Here is a 16,373-nt window from a genome sequence, read left to right as displayed (position 1 = left end):
AACACCTGGAACTAATTTTTGAGTTTAGCAAGGTCATAGGATACAAGATTAATCTATAAAAATTAACTGTATTAATGACAAAATTATAGAGATGGAGAACAGGTTAGTGGGTTTCAGGAGCCAGGGAGGACAGTAAGGAGGGAGATGGCTGTGGCTAACAAAGGGTAGCACAAGTGATCCTTGTGATGGAACTGTTTTGTTTCTTGACTATGGTGGTGCCCACACAGACCTACACATGCGATAAATTTGCATAGAATTAATACATACACAAAATAAGTGCATGTAAAACTGTGATGTCTGAATAAGCTGGGTGGATAGTGTCAATGCCAATTTCCTAGTTGTGTATTATATTAAAGTTATGCAAGATGTTACCACTGAGGTAAACTGATATATGGGATCTCTGTATTATTTCTCACAACTGCAGGTGAATCTACAATTATCTCAAAATAACAAGTAAACAAAAAATCAACTGGAACTCTCTTACATGGTTACTGGGAATGCAAAATGGTACATCCACTCTGGAAAATAATTTTGTAATTTCTTATAAAGTTAAACATATACTTGCTATATGGCCCAGCAATCCCATTTCTAGATATTTACCCTAGACAAATAAAAACTTATATCCAGACAAAAATGTACACAAATGTATGAAGCTCTATTAATAATTGTCAAAACTGGAAACAACTTAACATCTTTCAGTGGGTAAATGGATAAACTATGGTATATCTAGGCAACAGGATATTACTCAGCAATAAACAGGAACAAAGCACTGACACATGCAAGCACTTGATAAGTCTCAAAGACATTTATGAGTGAAAGAAGCCCGTATCGAAAGCTTACATGCTATATGATTCCATCTGTGTGACATTTTCAAAAAGACAAAAGTGTAGTCATGGAGAAGAGTGGTTGCCAGATGTTATATGGGGGAAGGGGGTTACTACAAAGGGATAACAGAATTTTTTAGGGTGATGTTACTGCTGGAATCCTAATTGTGGAGATGGTTACAGGACTCTACAAATATGTTAAAATTCACAGAACTGTGCACCAAAATTAAGAAGTCAAATTTTCTGTATGTTAATTTAAAAAATAAAAGAAATTTTAAAAAGGCAATTTTGCCATTTAAAATTTATAGTTAACACATTTAGAGAGGCTATTTAGAATTTGTTGTTTGCAGCATAATTCCAGATATAACAACATTTTAATGAGTACCATAGGCTTCATTTGACAGTGTATGATGGAGCTCACAGAGCATCATATGAAAATGTCCTAACTCAAACTTCAATTAAGAAAAAAGGAAAACAACAGTTTTAATGTCAAAAATGTTCAGTAAACACCAAACAAAAGAACATTTATTTTGGTGATCTTTACTCAGACCGTAGCTGCAAACAACATGAGGAACAAGTGTCTGCTAATTTTTTTAAACATAAGAAGCAGATTTAGTTTTGCTGACACATTAATGGTGATTATAATAATCATTAAATAGTAAATAAAAAAGTTAAGTGACCTATAAATAGACTAAAACCCACTCAGGCAATTTAAAGCAAAGATGAGCTTTGTAACTCTTCAATTAAAATATTGGATTAAAAACCATGGCATTATGTCAAATCAAGTATGATATACGTTGCAACCAAATAGTCTGTGTAGAAATAATGATGTTTTCATTAACCCCATAAAATTCAAGTAAATACTCCAATGTAAAATAGCCTTTTAAGAAACATCTTTGAATGTCTGTCAAAAACATACAGCATTTTAAAAATGCATGCTAAATGTATGCTAAGTGCAACATTCAAATCAGGGAAATGATAAATGCTATATATTCAAATCAGCTAAGTTAAAAATAATTACTTAGCTATAATTAAGTATTTCTGAGCCAGGTATGGTGGCATGTGCCTGTAGTCCCAGCTATTCAGGAGGCTGAGGCAGGAGAATCACTTGAACCCAGAGTTCAAGTCCAGCCTGGGCAATATAGTGAGACCTTTGTCCTTAAAAAAACAACAAAAAAAAACAAAACAGAATTTAAAGTATTTCTTTGTAAGCATGTAGGTTTCCAATTCTAGCTATGATTATTCTGAACTACAGAGAGGAAGTAGGTCAGCCTATCTATGAAATGGATCAGACCTTCAGCTGCTTCCAGATGGCTTCTGCATTAAATTGAACAATCTACACAGAAATTCCAGTGATGCCATAAATCTGTATGTCTGGGTTTCCTTCATATGTTATAAAACATTGGTCCCATCGTAGCTATAATATCTGCATAGGGAGCACTCTGGCTCAGCTCAATAGCCAGCTGTTTCTTTAGGACAAGAAAGCTATAAAATTTGGCAGCTGCTTGTTTTCGGTCACTATTTCTACAGAGCTTCATCAGACTAAAGGACTGCATTCCCATCTTGTTAGATTCCTGGGAAAATAATTAGAAAAGAAAAAAGAAATGGGAAACAAGATCATTAGAAGTAAAGCCGGCTATAAATGCGTAATAAACAACAAAATATTGACATTTTGGATAAATGACTATAAAATCCTTAAATGGAAAAAGGGAAATGACTCCTTAGTAAACATAAAAACAACACAAGTTACTGTACACAAGCTTGGTTCGTGAAGAACATGCATGCAAAAGAATTCCGAAGTGTTATATAAATTTATAATGTGTTATACAAATGATAGGCCTTTTTAAAATTGATGTTAACATAAATGGCTCCAGTGGAAAGGGCAATTAGTCTATATTTGCAGAGACAAAAAAATCCACAGGACTTTGGGAGGCTTCAAATACAATGAAAATGATCAGCCTATCAGTCTTCTTCTACTTAAAGGTACTATAGTGTTGGTGTTGACTATAAACAACTCCAGTTTCAGTGTCAGGGGATTATGACTATGTAAACAACTCCCAATTTCTTTGCACAGATTAAAAAGATGTCGGATTCACCACATGACATCTGTGTACCTACTGAAAATAACTGAGGTACAATAAAGTATTTTAATTATGGATGAAGATAACTCTTTTCATGAAGACTAGGATTTGGAATCAGAGTCCTAGAGTAGAAGTGTAATTTTTTAGTTAGAAATACTGCAGTGCGGCCAGGCGTGGTGGCTCACGCCTGTAATCCCAGCACTTTGGGAGGCCGAGGAGGGCAGATCGCTTGCAGTCAAGAGTTCGAGACCAGTCTGGCAAACATGGTGAAACCTTGTCTGTACTAAAAATACAAAAATTAGCTGGGCATGGTGGCACGCGCCTCTAATCCCAGCTATTCGGGAGGCTGAGGCAGAAGAATCGCTTGAAACCAGGAGGATGAGGTTGCAGTGAGCCGAGATCATGCCACTGCACTCTGGCCTGGGTGACAGTGATACCCTGTCACAAAAAAAGAAAAAAAGAAAAGAAGTACTGCAGTGAATACTGGCCAATGTCCCTATGAGAATCATACACGCTGGATAGTTGTGAAGCTTATTTAGAAATACCACATACAAGGTTTTGCTTGTCCATAACAGTCAACAAATTAATAAATTAAATACTTTGTCATACTTTATCTTAACCAAAGGCGTGGCCCAGGTTCAGTAACCTTTCAAAGATGGCATATCCAGCCTACATTTATTCCCTGCCTTGAGAGAAAAGATGAGAACTGGATGGCTTTTCCCCCCTGGGAGAGAATAAGGACAGTTTTTTCAATTTCAAGAATTATTTTGAAAAACCCTAAAGGGACAAATATGCAAGATTAAACATAAGCGTTTATTTGTGTTCCCTTCAGAAACCCTTCTGAAATGAAGGTAAAGGAAGAAAAAGTGACGAAGGAGATAAAGACAAAGAAAGTGGAAGACATAACTGACTTAGTAGAGTAGAGACAACTGAACCCTAAGTGCTGGCAGGGGGGAAGCCAGCAAAAAGCAAGCTGATTTGAGTGAGACACAGTACCTAGGAAAAGCTCAGGAATTGGAGACATCAGTGTGTCATAAACTGGGGAGAGGGATGAAGCTGAAAACAGGAGAATTCCTTGAGAATCTACTTAGGAACAGTAGCGGAGACCGCTACTCACACAGCAGAAGGCGTGAAGTTGCCCTTCTGGAGATAACAAGCATTGAGGCTTTGAACTTAGGGCACTAGTGCTGTGGATGGTGAAGTGTCATACCACAAACAGTGGGATTAAGGGAAATTCTACACTCTGAACAGTGAGATAACCAGCCTCTCCTTTACCTCCTTTTGGTTCCTGAGCCACTGGCATCATGCTTATATCTCCTAGGCAGTAGACTTAAAGATTATTCTGGAAAAGATGACTATTCTAAGGGAGAACAAAACCCAGTTATATAATACAATCTAGGGAAGGTGAGAGGTGCCACCCAATTACCTCAGTATAAAGACCATAAGTCTACAACCCCTACTCATGCGTATATAACTTCCAGTCAGTTTTTTGGTGTCTCTATCTTAAATAAAAGCAGATAATCCTAGGATCTACAAGACATTTGAGTAAAATCTCTAATATTAAAGAGCAAAAAGGAATACATTCAAGAAAATCACTAAGGAAAGATAATGCAGGGAGCAGAAGTGCAACCTCTGAAGTTAAGAAGTTTTTCATTGTACCCATGAAAAATGGCTAGGATAACAGTGAGAGGAAGCAGATCAGTGGTTGCTTGGGAATGGGGGTGCCAGTTGGAGGTATGCAAATGAGGGATTCAAAAGGGGCACAAGGAAAGTTTTTCTGGTTTGATATATGTTTACTCCTTGATTGTGGTGAAGGTTTTACAGTTGTACACATATGTCAAGACTTATATAATGCATACTTTAAATATAAATAGTTTACTGCATGTTAATCATATCTCAACAAAGCTGCTTTAGAAACCTAATTGAATAATTAAATAAAAATATTATGATGCTATAAAATAAAAGAATAGTTAGTAACCAAGAAAAAAAACTCCTGGAAAACAAAAAGGTGAAAGCAGATATAAAAATTCAGTAAAGTCTAGAAGACAAAGTTGAAGAAATCTAGAGGGTAGAAAAACACAAATACAAAGAAATTAATATAGAGGATAAAAGATGTTATTAAAATTAAAGGAGTAGTTCAGGAGATCCAACATCTGACCCACTGGCCCTTCAGGAAGACAAAACATAAATAAAAAGGAAACTGAGGCCAGGAGTTTGAAACCAGCCTGAGCAACACAGTGGGACCTTGACTCTATGAAAAACTTTAAAAAATAACAATAATAAGGAGAAAGTCCAAGAAATTTTTAAAAATTTTCTAAAACTCAGGAACATGAAATTTCTGTATAAAAGAACACACTACATGGTAAAGACAATAAGTGGAAAAAAAAAAAACCAAAGCACATCATGAAATTCCAGAGTGCCCGGGATAATAATAATAACAATAATAGATCAAAAGCTTCCAGAGAGAAAATAAAGGTTACTTACAAAGGATCACCAACTAAGGCAATATCTGACCTTTCAATAACATCACAAGAATCTTGGCAATGTTACAAAGCCTTCAACATCTGAGAGAAATATATTTTCAACTTACATCTAGAGACAATCAATCACGTTAAAGGTAAAAGAAACGCTCACGCTGGTATGGAGGGTCTGTATCTCTCGTGAACTCTTTATCTCAGGAAATTATGAAAGGATGTTAACCACTAAAAAATTTAAGATAAAGAAAGATCAAAGCACCCAAAACCACAGAGGAAATAATATATACAGGAAAGAGACAAATTCCCATGTTTATGACAAAGCAATATCCCAAGACAAAAACTATGGAGCAGACCTAAACAGCCGCTGGTTTGGATCAGAACAAGAGGATGGTGAGCTCCCAGAGAGATACCTTTAAGGAAAAAAAATGGAACTGATGGATCATTTGATAAGAGATATTATAAAATATTACAAAACCATAAAAATGGTATTTTTGTCAGAGTTTGGTCATATTGTCTGAGTTTGGAAAAATAATTAAAATGGGTTTATAGACACTGAGCAAATAAAAAAATGAAGTAAAGGATTATAAATCATGCTGCTATAAAGACACATGCACATATATGTTTATTGTGGCACTATTCACAATAGCAAAGACTTGGAACCAACCCAAATGTCCATCAATGATAGACTGGATTAAGAAAATGTGGCATATATACACCATGGAATACTATGCAGCCATAAAAAAGGATGAGTTCATGTCTTTGTAGGGACATGGATGAAGCTGGAAACCATCATTCTCAGCAAACTATCACAAGGACAAAAAACCAAACACTGCATGTTCTCACTCACAGGTGGGAATTGAAAAATGAGAACACTTGGACACAGCGGGAGGGATAGCATTAGGAGCTATACCTAATCTAAATGATGAGTTAATGGGTGCAGCACACCAACATGGCACATGTATACATATGTAACAAACCTGCACGTTGTGCACATGTACCCTAAAACTCATAGTATAATAAAAAAGAAAAAAAGAAAAAAAAAGAAAGAAAATGTGGCACATATACACCATGGAATACTATGCAGCCATAAAAAAGGATGAGTTCATGTCCTTTGTAGGGACACGGATGAAGCTGGAAACCATCATTCTCAGCAACCTATGGCAAGGACAAAAAACCAAACACCACATGTTCTCACTCGTAGGTGGGAATTGAACAATGAGAACACTTGGACACAAGAAGGCGAACAACACACACCGGGGCCTGTCATGGGGTCGGGGGAGGGGGGAGGGATAGCATTAGGAGATATACCTAATGTAAATGACGAGTTAATGGGTGCAGCACACCAACATGGCGCATGTATACATATGTAACAAACCTGCACGTTGTGCACATGTACCCTAGAACTTAAAGTATAATAATAAAAAAAAGAAAAAAAATGAGGTAATGACAAAACAACCATAAAGTTGACAAGAAATGTAATTATGCTATGAAGCTTCAATGTAACTAATTTTTATTTAGTCTTTATGGCAGCAGCTGCTAGTTGTCCTTTAATTTCCATTCTCTTCTTCTATAGTAACAGAATTATTAGTTGGGACTAAGCTTACCAAATAAAGACTACATTTCCCAGCTAGATGCGTCAATGTGACTAAGTACTGGTCAATGAAGTGTAAAAAGTGATACAATTTCTGGGTTGTACTCTTAAAGGAAATTTTGTTACTGATTGGAGTACAGACCTGGTGGGTAGTTAGCCATTTTGGATCTTGAGAAGACAAAGGAAACCTGGGTCCCTGACAACTTTGTGAGCATAGCTGCCATACCAGATTGAACTTTTACCTGACAGATAAATAAACTTCTGTCTTTTTTAAGCCACTAATATTTTGGCTCCCTGTCGCAATCAAACCTGCATCATAACTATTACAAATATAACACTGTAAACACATAACACTATGCTAAAAGTATACTAGGGAGGGGAAGGTAACTAAGTTAAACTTTTGTTTTCTGTCAAAAGAATTCAGTAGATATAGTTTAAAGCTGAAATACCAAGAAAGAGCACTAAAAGCATGTTTATTAAGAATATAGATATAAATACTAAAAGAAACAGCTTAATGTAGTTGCTTCTGGTGAGCAGGACTTAGGGATAAGGAGAGGTAGGACAAAGGCCTTTCTGTCTTTTCAGCCTTATTGCATGGTGCTATTGAGCTTTTAAAATAATATACATGTATTATTTTGATAAAAATATAAATTAAATTCAAAAATTACCTGAGTTGTCACTCTTGAACTGCTATAAACTAAGTTTCATATTGAGAATTAGTTGGTATCATGCTAAAAACGAGGATGGGACACAGAATGGATATCTAAGGGTATTAGTGTGGGTAAGAAGTTGATTAGAATATGCAGGCACCAAATCCAAACTTCTATATTTAGCCCTGGGTATACTACTGAAAATCATTGCACTCTAGTGGGATTTGGCCTCAAAAAAATAAGGAAAATTATTGCGTTTTCATTAATATATGGAAGCTTGAAGTCAGTATTTACTTATTTTTTAAAATAAAAACAGGGTTGACAAACCCTAGCATCTCACCCGTAAACGATTTAACATCTGAAGTATTCTTCCATTCCATCTCTCTGTCTCAATATTTTCTTCATTGCTCAATGACTCCTGTTTGAATGATAGATAAAATATTTAATTTAAGCAAATTTTACTAAATGCTGACTATTTGCCCATCATAGTGTTAGCTTCTACAAGAAACACAATTATTACAATGGGTCCTGCCAAATAAAGAGCTTATAATCTTTATTATTTATAAAAAGAATAAGGCTAACATACAAATATAAACCACCTTTGCACAATTACACCTGTACTCTCCAGGGTCTCTTCTGATAAGAGGCTCCAAAATAGGAGATTCTGCCATCTTTATTTGTTAATGTGTCCAGGGTCTTACGGTTACTTTGAAAAGCAAAATTAGCAAAGACAACAACTTTTGCCTAGGGTTATCCTAGTTCTGGTCAATCTGAACTCAGTTGACAGGAGTAAACATACAGCTATTTCTGTCTTGTAAAGGCCTTTATCTGAACTTATCTGGTAATGGAAGCTCTAAACATAACTGCTGTCTAGTAGTTTGTGTACAATTGGGTTAGAAATCTTTCAGATTTCGAGATGCCTTGTCCAAGGCATCTGTGCCTTGGACATGTCTGTCATGTTATCTAAATAGATTCTTTTTTTTTTTTTTTTTTTTTTTGGTATTTAAGGCTTAACCACTTTCAGAAATACCTCAATATTTAAAAATGGTATTCTAATCCCTTACAAACTAACACCTTATGATGTGAGAACAGAAACTGAGCATATGAAAGGTGTTCATGAATCTGATAAAAGAGTAGGCTTACAAAGGGTTGGGGGAAGGGAAGTGGCACAAACCTGGCCTACTTCATAATTTTTCCTAAGCTAATTCTGACTATGCAGCCCAACAGCATCTATGTCACTCTCACCTCATGTCCACTGTCTGTCTAGCCTTCATGTATAGGAGCCCAGACACTTCCTAAAAGTGCTTTCAATTTCATAGACTCCAAGACAATTACAGAAAGCACCAGAATATTCTGCATGACATTTTAAATCATGTGAGGCTAAAGGGACTCTTTGACTAAGCCTGGGAGCTACTGAGTCCCCATTTCCACCAACTATACCAGCTTCCTAGGCCTGCCTATGCTGTATGCTTTCTTATATTCCAAAAAGACTGATTTGAAAATACGGTCACTTTATTCTAGAGAGTTTTCTAAATCCCTTCAGCTACAATTTATGATTATTCTTTTCTGGTCTCTCCTTGGATAAATGAGGACACCCACTTATTAATGTTTATTTTATTGTTAAATAAACAAATGCAGTTTTTGAAATGTAAAAACCTCTTTGTTAAAGATCCATGAGACTCTAGCTTCATCTATAATGCACAACTAAACTAACCAGAGAAAGGCTCAGAAGAAATACTCTGTGCATTCTGCTAAAGCCTGTCCACTTGATCTATCTGGACACCCTACAGCTGAATCTATTGTGTAAAAAGCCCAGTGGATTATTAAAACAGCTGAACTTGTGCTATGTTGTGGTTTGCTTGACCATGTATGAAAATAACCTGCATCTACAGAAGCACAGCGAATAGCAAAAATGAACTAACCCACTTCTGGCTCAGCTGTTTGGATACTTCAGGTAAAAAGTTCAGGTAATTTATTCTGTCCTAGATTATCTAGAGAATTTGGTCTCTTTTCCTTGTATGAAAAACAATCAAAGAGTCTTGGAACTCAATATATAGATAATTTTATAGAAGCAAATTAACATCAGGCTTACTAGGTGTTTTTATATTATTTACTAAAAAACTTTTACTAAAATTCCTTACAATCTTAAAAATGTTTTCAGTATGCTGGGATAATACCAGAGAAATAAGACAGTTAATAAGCAGGGAGTCAGGGAAATCAGACTTTACTTCTGTCTTTGCTATTGACATGTGGCCCTCTGACTACCAGATTATTTTGTTTCAGATTTCCAGAAGCCTTGTATAGATACAAGCCTTGTGCCACATAATGTTAAAGGAAAAATTGCCCACAAGTTTTTTGTAAATAAGATAAAATTTCAAATGCCCTAGGCCATACTCTTAATATAGTTCTGTTTCTTTAGAGATGTTATATCAATAATTTAAAACAGTGATTCTCAACATTTAAAATCCTGTCACTACTTTTGATAAGCACAAAAACCTCACACTTTCCCTTAAAAGTATTTGAAGTTTCAAAAGAAATTAAAGAAAGACAAAAAAATCAGAGCAATTCAGAATATTTTATCAAACTATTCACAAACATCTCTGTTGTAATCACAAATTTAAATTATAAATTTAGAAAGTAACATGACAGCTATAAAAGCCAAGTTTTAGATAAATAAGGTGTTAAATATTTAGGAATAAAGTTTTTAAGAACATCCCCAAGACTACACATATATTTACCAATTCAACTGGACTATATTCAATTTCTTGTGCAAATAAGTCATTCATTAAAGATGATTCCTCAGCAGCTAAAGACACCATTTCAACAATATCCTGCTGAAGCAAATTAGGGAAAGTTAGGTAAATCTGCCAGTGGTTATACAGGAACAATCTAATTTTATTAAATGCTTTAATCACATGAATGCTCACTTCTCAAACTAATTTAAAATACTACCCACATTCTCAAAATATTATCTCTGAAATACCCCAGATAGGCAGTCTTTGACTTAAATGTTACAATTTTCCATATGCCTCCCATAAAGGAAGAACTTGCATGCCCCTTCCCTCCTTGCTTCCTATCCTTTTCCTATTTCCCTCTCTACTGCAGACCTCACATTAAAAGTCTCTACTGCTGTGCTACTGAGACCACTTTGCTTTGAAGCATTTTATATAGCCCCACTCCCCTACCTCTATTCTCATGCCAATACCAGGTGGCAGAGGAAAGAGATCTGCAATAAGCAAGCAGAGAGGGAGTGAGAGTGAGGAAAGGGATATTAATATCCCTACCGAGGACCATGACAGGATTCCTGCCACCACTGCTGGAGCTGTCACGGGCAAAAGGGAAGAAGAACCTGTCTGTTGGAAGGGGAGTGAAGACATAAAGGAAGAAAGAAAAAGAGACAGAGATTTCCTAGTCCCTATCATCTCCTTCCCTTCTCATTGCTATAGAAGCTATCAACCTCTTTTCATCTTCAACCTGTCTCCAAGCTTCATTCCCCAGCTGTCCTCCTCAATCTTGATTAAGGGCCTCCTCTAAGATAGTTTACTTGCTTTTTCACTCAGCTTTAAAAAATTTTAGTAAACATAAGGAGTTACATTTTATTATTTAATATACATATTTGTGAAGCCTTGTTTTTCTCTTTCAATTTCTATGAGTATTCTACATTTTTGATACTCTCAATTTTGCAGGTATGGTATATAAAAATTCTGTTTTATGAAGATTTGAAAATGATTCATCAGAATCAATATTCTCTTGTCCCTTATTGTTCTTGTGCTCCCATGCTTGACTATATTTCACATTTGTTAACCATTTTTGGAAGCAGAATAAGAGGAGTATTGAAGGTTTAAAGCATAAGCATAAGGTAAAGGAGTAAAGGTTCAAAAGAACTGGTACATCGATCTCTCTTCTCTCTACTTCAAGCCCATGGGACAATCTATCTTGTTATATCTGTGATAACTGCAGTTGTATTTTCCTTCCAAAAAATCATAAACTAAACAGGTTTGCCTAATCATAATTTTCGGTAGGTACACTTTAACAAATGCCTGAGCCCAAGTGAGGGAGAGAGTAGTACTAGCAACCCAGTGTCTCAATATCCAGTATATTATCAAATATTTAGTAAAATACATTCTGTTTGAATGCACTGTGAAATTGTCTTTCCTTCCAAGGGCATTCAGTTTCAACATGGGTTGACTTTGAATTCCCTGAGTGGTTATCAAAATACAGTGATAATGGAACAGACCATAAAAACACTGGTTTATTTTTAACTGGTGTGGCTATAATATTTATATTTGTACAACCAATAAAATAACAACTGAGAAAATATTTCAAAGTACATTATTTCCAATTGTGTTTTCAAATAGTAATATTTTTCAAATAAAAAATTATATCTTAAAAAGTTTTTAAAATTTTGTTTTGGTCATAGATCTTTAGATAGTCTTTCAGATTCAAGGCCAAGGAATTGGTGGGTCTAAAATATATTATTCTTAGAGATACTTGGGTGAATTTATGATGAAAAGCAAAACTTAGGCATACTGGCTGCAGTTCTAAAACATTCCATGACACAAAGAATATGAGGCCTAGTAGGATTCTCAGCATATAACTAGGTTTACATAGAGACAATCATTGATTTAACGTATCATGCAAAATACTAGCTTGGTATGAAACCACCTTATCTTGCAATTTACATCCTAAACTCCTAGAAAAATTCTGCAGAAGAAAATCATGTTTTACCCTGCTACTTACTAAACAAATTGCAAAACAATTTAAAATGAAATATGAACTACACAAATGTAAGAAAATATACCAGAGTCCCAACATTCCTTTACTGTATCTGTAGAAAATAAAATATTTTTACGATTCTCTCTGGATAACTTACCTCAGAGTTAATATTTTTATTGGTATCCTCATGAGAGCTATGCTGAGATCCACCAATCACATCCTTCCAAGTTTGGGGTTTACTTAACTCTTGCTGGTAATTTGGCTCTTGCATCATGGATGTCTCTGAATTATCAAGGAAATAAAGACAATTTCACCAAAATATCTTTCAAACTTGAATTGTGATATGGTTGTAACAAAAGAAAACTTCTGACAGACATGTTGGGATCCAAGAATTTAAGCAAAGGATACACAAACTTTCTTATTGCTCCCAAGTCTCACATATGTATCTTCCCTTTCTTGTCCTCTGTCTCTATCACCTCCACTCCCCATTCTCTGCCAACCATCTCCTCTACACACGCTCTCACACATTCACTCACAAGACAACATGGACAGTTCAAGCCCATTGTGGTATATTGTTCAGCAGGTTTTAATGCCTTCAGGAAGGGTGATCAGGAAGTGGAAGCTCACTCATCACATCAATTGGTTTTATTATCACTTTATAATTATCATGATAATAATCAGTGATTATTAATACTCCATGTGCCTTTTGGGTAGACAGAAATATCTGCGTCAGGTTAAGTGTATTAAGTGCTGTTCTTATCCTTACATGACTTTTCATGTTAGTTGTTTTACATTGAAACTTTATCTTGCTAGATATAAAGATTTTCTTTTTTGAGGATTTTTGAGTATGCCTTTGGGAGTGAAGGAGGTAGAAAGAGTGATAATAAGAATGGTTTACATAGTATATATATTTCATCTTTTTAACGAAATCTCTGGGACAAAAATTAATCCAAAATGCAGAAAAATGCAATACCGAGGTAATAATTTCATTTAAGTTCCACTACTCTTCCAGAGTTAGCATTTATACTTGAGAATATGGAATTGGATCCCACCTTCATTTTGAAATTTAAAACATCAAATTTTTGTTTCCACAGCATTCCCCTCAACATCAACAGAATTAAGAAGTCTCACCTACTATATTTTGGTTTCCCACTTCTTCCCTTACTGACTCCTTCTGTATCATTTTTCTTCCAAGTTTAAAGCCAGAGGACAGAAAGCATTTTGTAAACAACTGTAAAAATACACATTTTTGTTTTTTTTGTTTTTGTACCAGCAAAGCAATTCAAGAAAACACAAGCACATATCTAAAAAGGAAAAACTATAATTCATACACACAATACAGAAAATTAATTCAAAATGAGGAAGTACTTCTTCGCAAGTTTAAATTCTGTTATATATGTATGTAAATATGTGTTTATTTATTTATTTATTATTTATTTATAACCAGACATTGCTCACATGTAGAAGGGTAGGAACCGTTACCATTTTCAGTTCAGCATGAATCAAATCCTGGGCAGCAGTTGACAGAAGTGTATGCACTCCTCCCCTCTTCTTCCACATCATCAATCTTTGGGTAGGAGGTGCAAGTTCCAAAACCATGAGTGTGTCCGCAAAGGAAGTAAGCTGTTTATGTATAACTTTGCTACTGAGCTCCTTGATAGGATCTATGAGCAATCTCCTCTTTTTGCCTTTCCTTTTCTCAGCAATGTCTAAATATAAGAAATAGCACAAATGTGATTGGTTATACAGCTTTCTAAAATCATATTGTAGGCACTAAATACTTAAGAAATTTCTAAGCCAGGCACGGTGGCTCATGCCTGTAATCCTAGCACTTCAAGAGGCTGAGGTGGGCGGATTGCTTGGGCCCAGGAGTTCAAGACCAGCCTGGGCAACATGGCTAAACCCCGTCTCTACAAAAAATACAAAAATTAGCCACACATGGTAGCACGCACCTGTAGACCCAGCTACTCAGGAGGCTGAGATGGGTGGATCCCTTGAGCCTGAGTGGCAGAGGTTGAAGTGAGCTGAGACCACATCACTACACTCCAGACTGGGCAACAGAGCAAGACCCTATCTCCAAAAGAGAAAAGAAATTTCTACCACAGTACAACCTACAGTGTTGCATTGGAAAGAAAATCCCTTCTCCCCTCTGAAAATTATGCTGAGCAACCAATAGCTGATACATTTTGTAAGGTGTTGCTTGGAAGTGCTTAGAAAGGGATCTACCTGTTAAGTGAGCAACTGAGGAAAGGTGGGGAAGAGGGAAGTCCACCAATTTGGAGGTTCCTTAAAATGCTTATGTAATAGAATAACTTTCTACAACACTCATTTGTATTTGTCCAGTGTATTTTTCCCTCTCCCACTGAAATTCATAGACATTCCAAGCAGGTAACTAGGTCCATAGGATTTCACTCCACCAGGGAATTTTACCAGGCAGAAAGCAGAAGTCAAGCTTTTCTTTAGTAAAGCTGTAAAAGGGGAGAGAGGGTTAGATTTCTCAGGATTGATAAAGATCCAAGATCAAATGGAGCCAAAATGTACAGGAACCTGCTTGCTGGCTGATGTGCCTCAGTAAAATCCCAGGAACAAGACAAGATACTGGAGAGGTTGGCTATGTGATGATCCCCAAGGCTATGTAAGCTGGAGCCCTGGGAACCACAGATTGGTATAGCTGATAACCAGAGGTTCCCTTCCACCTTCCATACCCCTCCCCCAAACTTTGGAACTACATGGTGGAAATAAGACAGGGAAGCTACACAGATTGAATTTCCTGCCAGCCTAGTGAGATAGAGGCTCAGTGGTGAATTCAGTTAAAAAAAAAATGCTTTACTGTTTGCATGCCTGAGTTTATAAACTGAAATTCATATCAATTATACTACCTACAACTAGGATGTTTCTAAATGACCTAGTTATATTAGTTATATTAGACTAGTAGTTACATTAGATATATTAGATTCATACTTACTACTTATCCCTAAAAATATGATGCTTGAAGTTAAATGCTAGAAGGCATTCGCCTCTCCTCTGATCTTTTTATTCTGCCTTATATTATATTCACTTGCATGACTATTTATCTTCCTGACTAGATTGTTTTCTAAGCTTCTTAAAAGTAAAAAGTGTGTGTCTTCTTTATTCCCGTGCCCACTACAGAGTAATGGCTCAATACCTTCCTAAATTGAACTTAGTTTAAAATTTTTCAGTTTCCCAAACTGGATACATGGTTTGAACAGGACTGAATATAATGCAAGTGATACAGAGGTACAGGACAAATGAGCCCCAGAGTGGAGCTTAGCCCATCTGGGTTCTTGGCTTTGTCCAGGAAAAGAATTCAAGGGCAAGTCAGAGGTAGAAGAAAACAGCTTTATTGAATAGGCAGTGTTACACCTCTGGTGGTGTTACAGCTCTAGCACCGTAACTGCTGCTGCAGAGCAGGGCTACTCAGCAGGCCCAGACTAGCAGCTCAGGGCAGTTTTGCAGTCATATTTATACCCACTTTTAATTGTATGCAGATTAAGGGGGCTGGTTTATGCAGGGAAGGAGTAGGAATCATTGGGTCATCACCATGGAAAAGGGTGAATTCCCGGTGTTGCCATGGCAGCAGTAAATTGACATGGCACACTGGTGGGTGGGTGTGATTGAAAGCTCCCCCCACCCACCTTGTAACTAGTCCTCATCTGGTCCGGTGTCCAACCCCCAATTCTGGAGTTGAGTCCCGCTTCCTACCTCAAAAGGATCATCTAAAATTTTCTTCACCGTCTTCTCCTCTATTGTGTTACAAGTGCTATTACTAGATTGACTATCTCCTATAATATTTCAGTGATTATTCAAACATCTCAAAGTAAATAAGTTAACAGTGTATTAAAAATTAAAACAAAACCGTAAATGCCTCTGACCTGAAATATCAATTGGATCAAGGGTAAATCCTTCCTCTTCAGTTGATAATAATATTGTTTCATTCATTTTTTCATTTTCAGGTACACATATACACTCTGAGTTATCTGGTTCAACTAATCAACATCCACATAAAAGTAATT

General features: G+C 36.1%; 1 protein-coding gene across 14 annotated transcripts in view; it reads right to left on the bottom strand.

Moving 5' to 3' along the window:
* Positions 1-790: 790 nt before the first annotated feature.
* RAD21L1 (RAD21 cohesin complex component like 1) overlaps positions 791-16,373 on the bottom strand; it is a 29,833-nt gene continuing 14,250 nt past the window's right edge. For 5 of the 14 annotated variants that reach the window (XM_006723603.3, XM_006723602.3, XM_011529317.3 and 2 more), the window contains 7 exons: positions 16,233-16,346; positions 13,798-14,048; positions 13,471-13,570; positions 12,497-12,621; positions 10,362-10,457; positions 7,964-8,041; positions 791-2,398 (listed from right to left, as the gene is read on the bottom strand). In XM_006723603.3, coding sequence (XP_006723666.1) covers positions 2,210-2,398; positions 7,964-8,041; positions 10,362-10,457; positions 12,497-12,621; positions 13,471-13,570; positions 13,798-14,048; positions 16,233-16,346 — 953 coding nt within the window. In that variant the 3' untranslated portion in view covers positions 791-2,209. Of the gene's footprint in view, positions 2,399-7,963; positions 8,042-10,361; positions 10,458-12,496; positions 12,622-13,470; positions 13,571-13,797; positions 14,049-14,565; positions 14,808-16,232; positions 16,347-16,373 lie in introns of those variants that run through there. The other 9 variants (XM_047440371.1, NM_001384355.1, NM_001384358.1 and 6 more) reach the window with 5 other exon arrangements.

This window comes from Homo sapiens, chromosome 20, assembly GCF_000001405.40.
Source record: "Homo sapiens chromosome 20, GRCh38.p14 Primary Assembly".
Lineage (NCBI taxonomy): Eukaryota > Metazoa > Chordata > Mammalia > Primates > Hominidae > Homo > Homo sapiens.
This window is presented reverse-complemented; position numbering and strand designations above follow the sequence as displayed.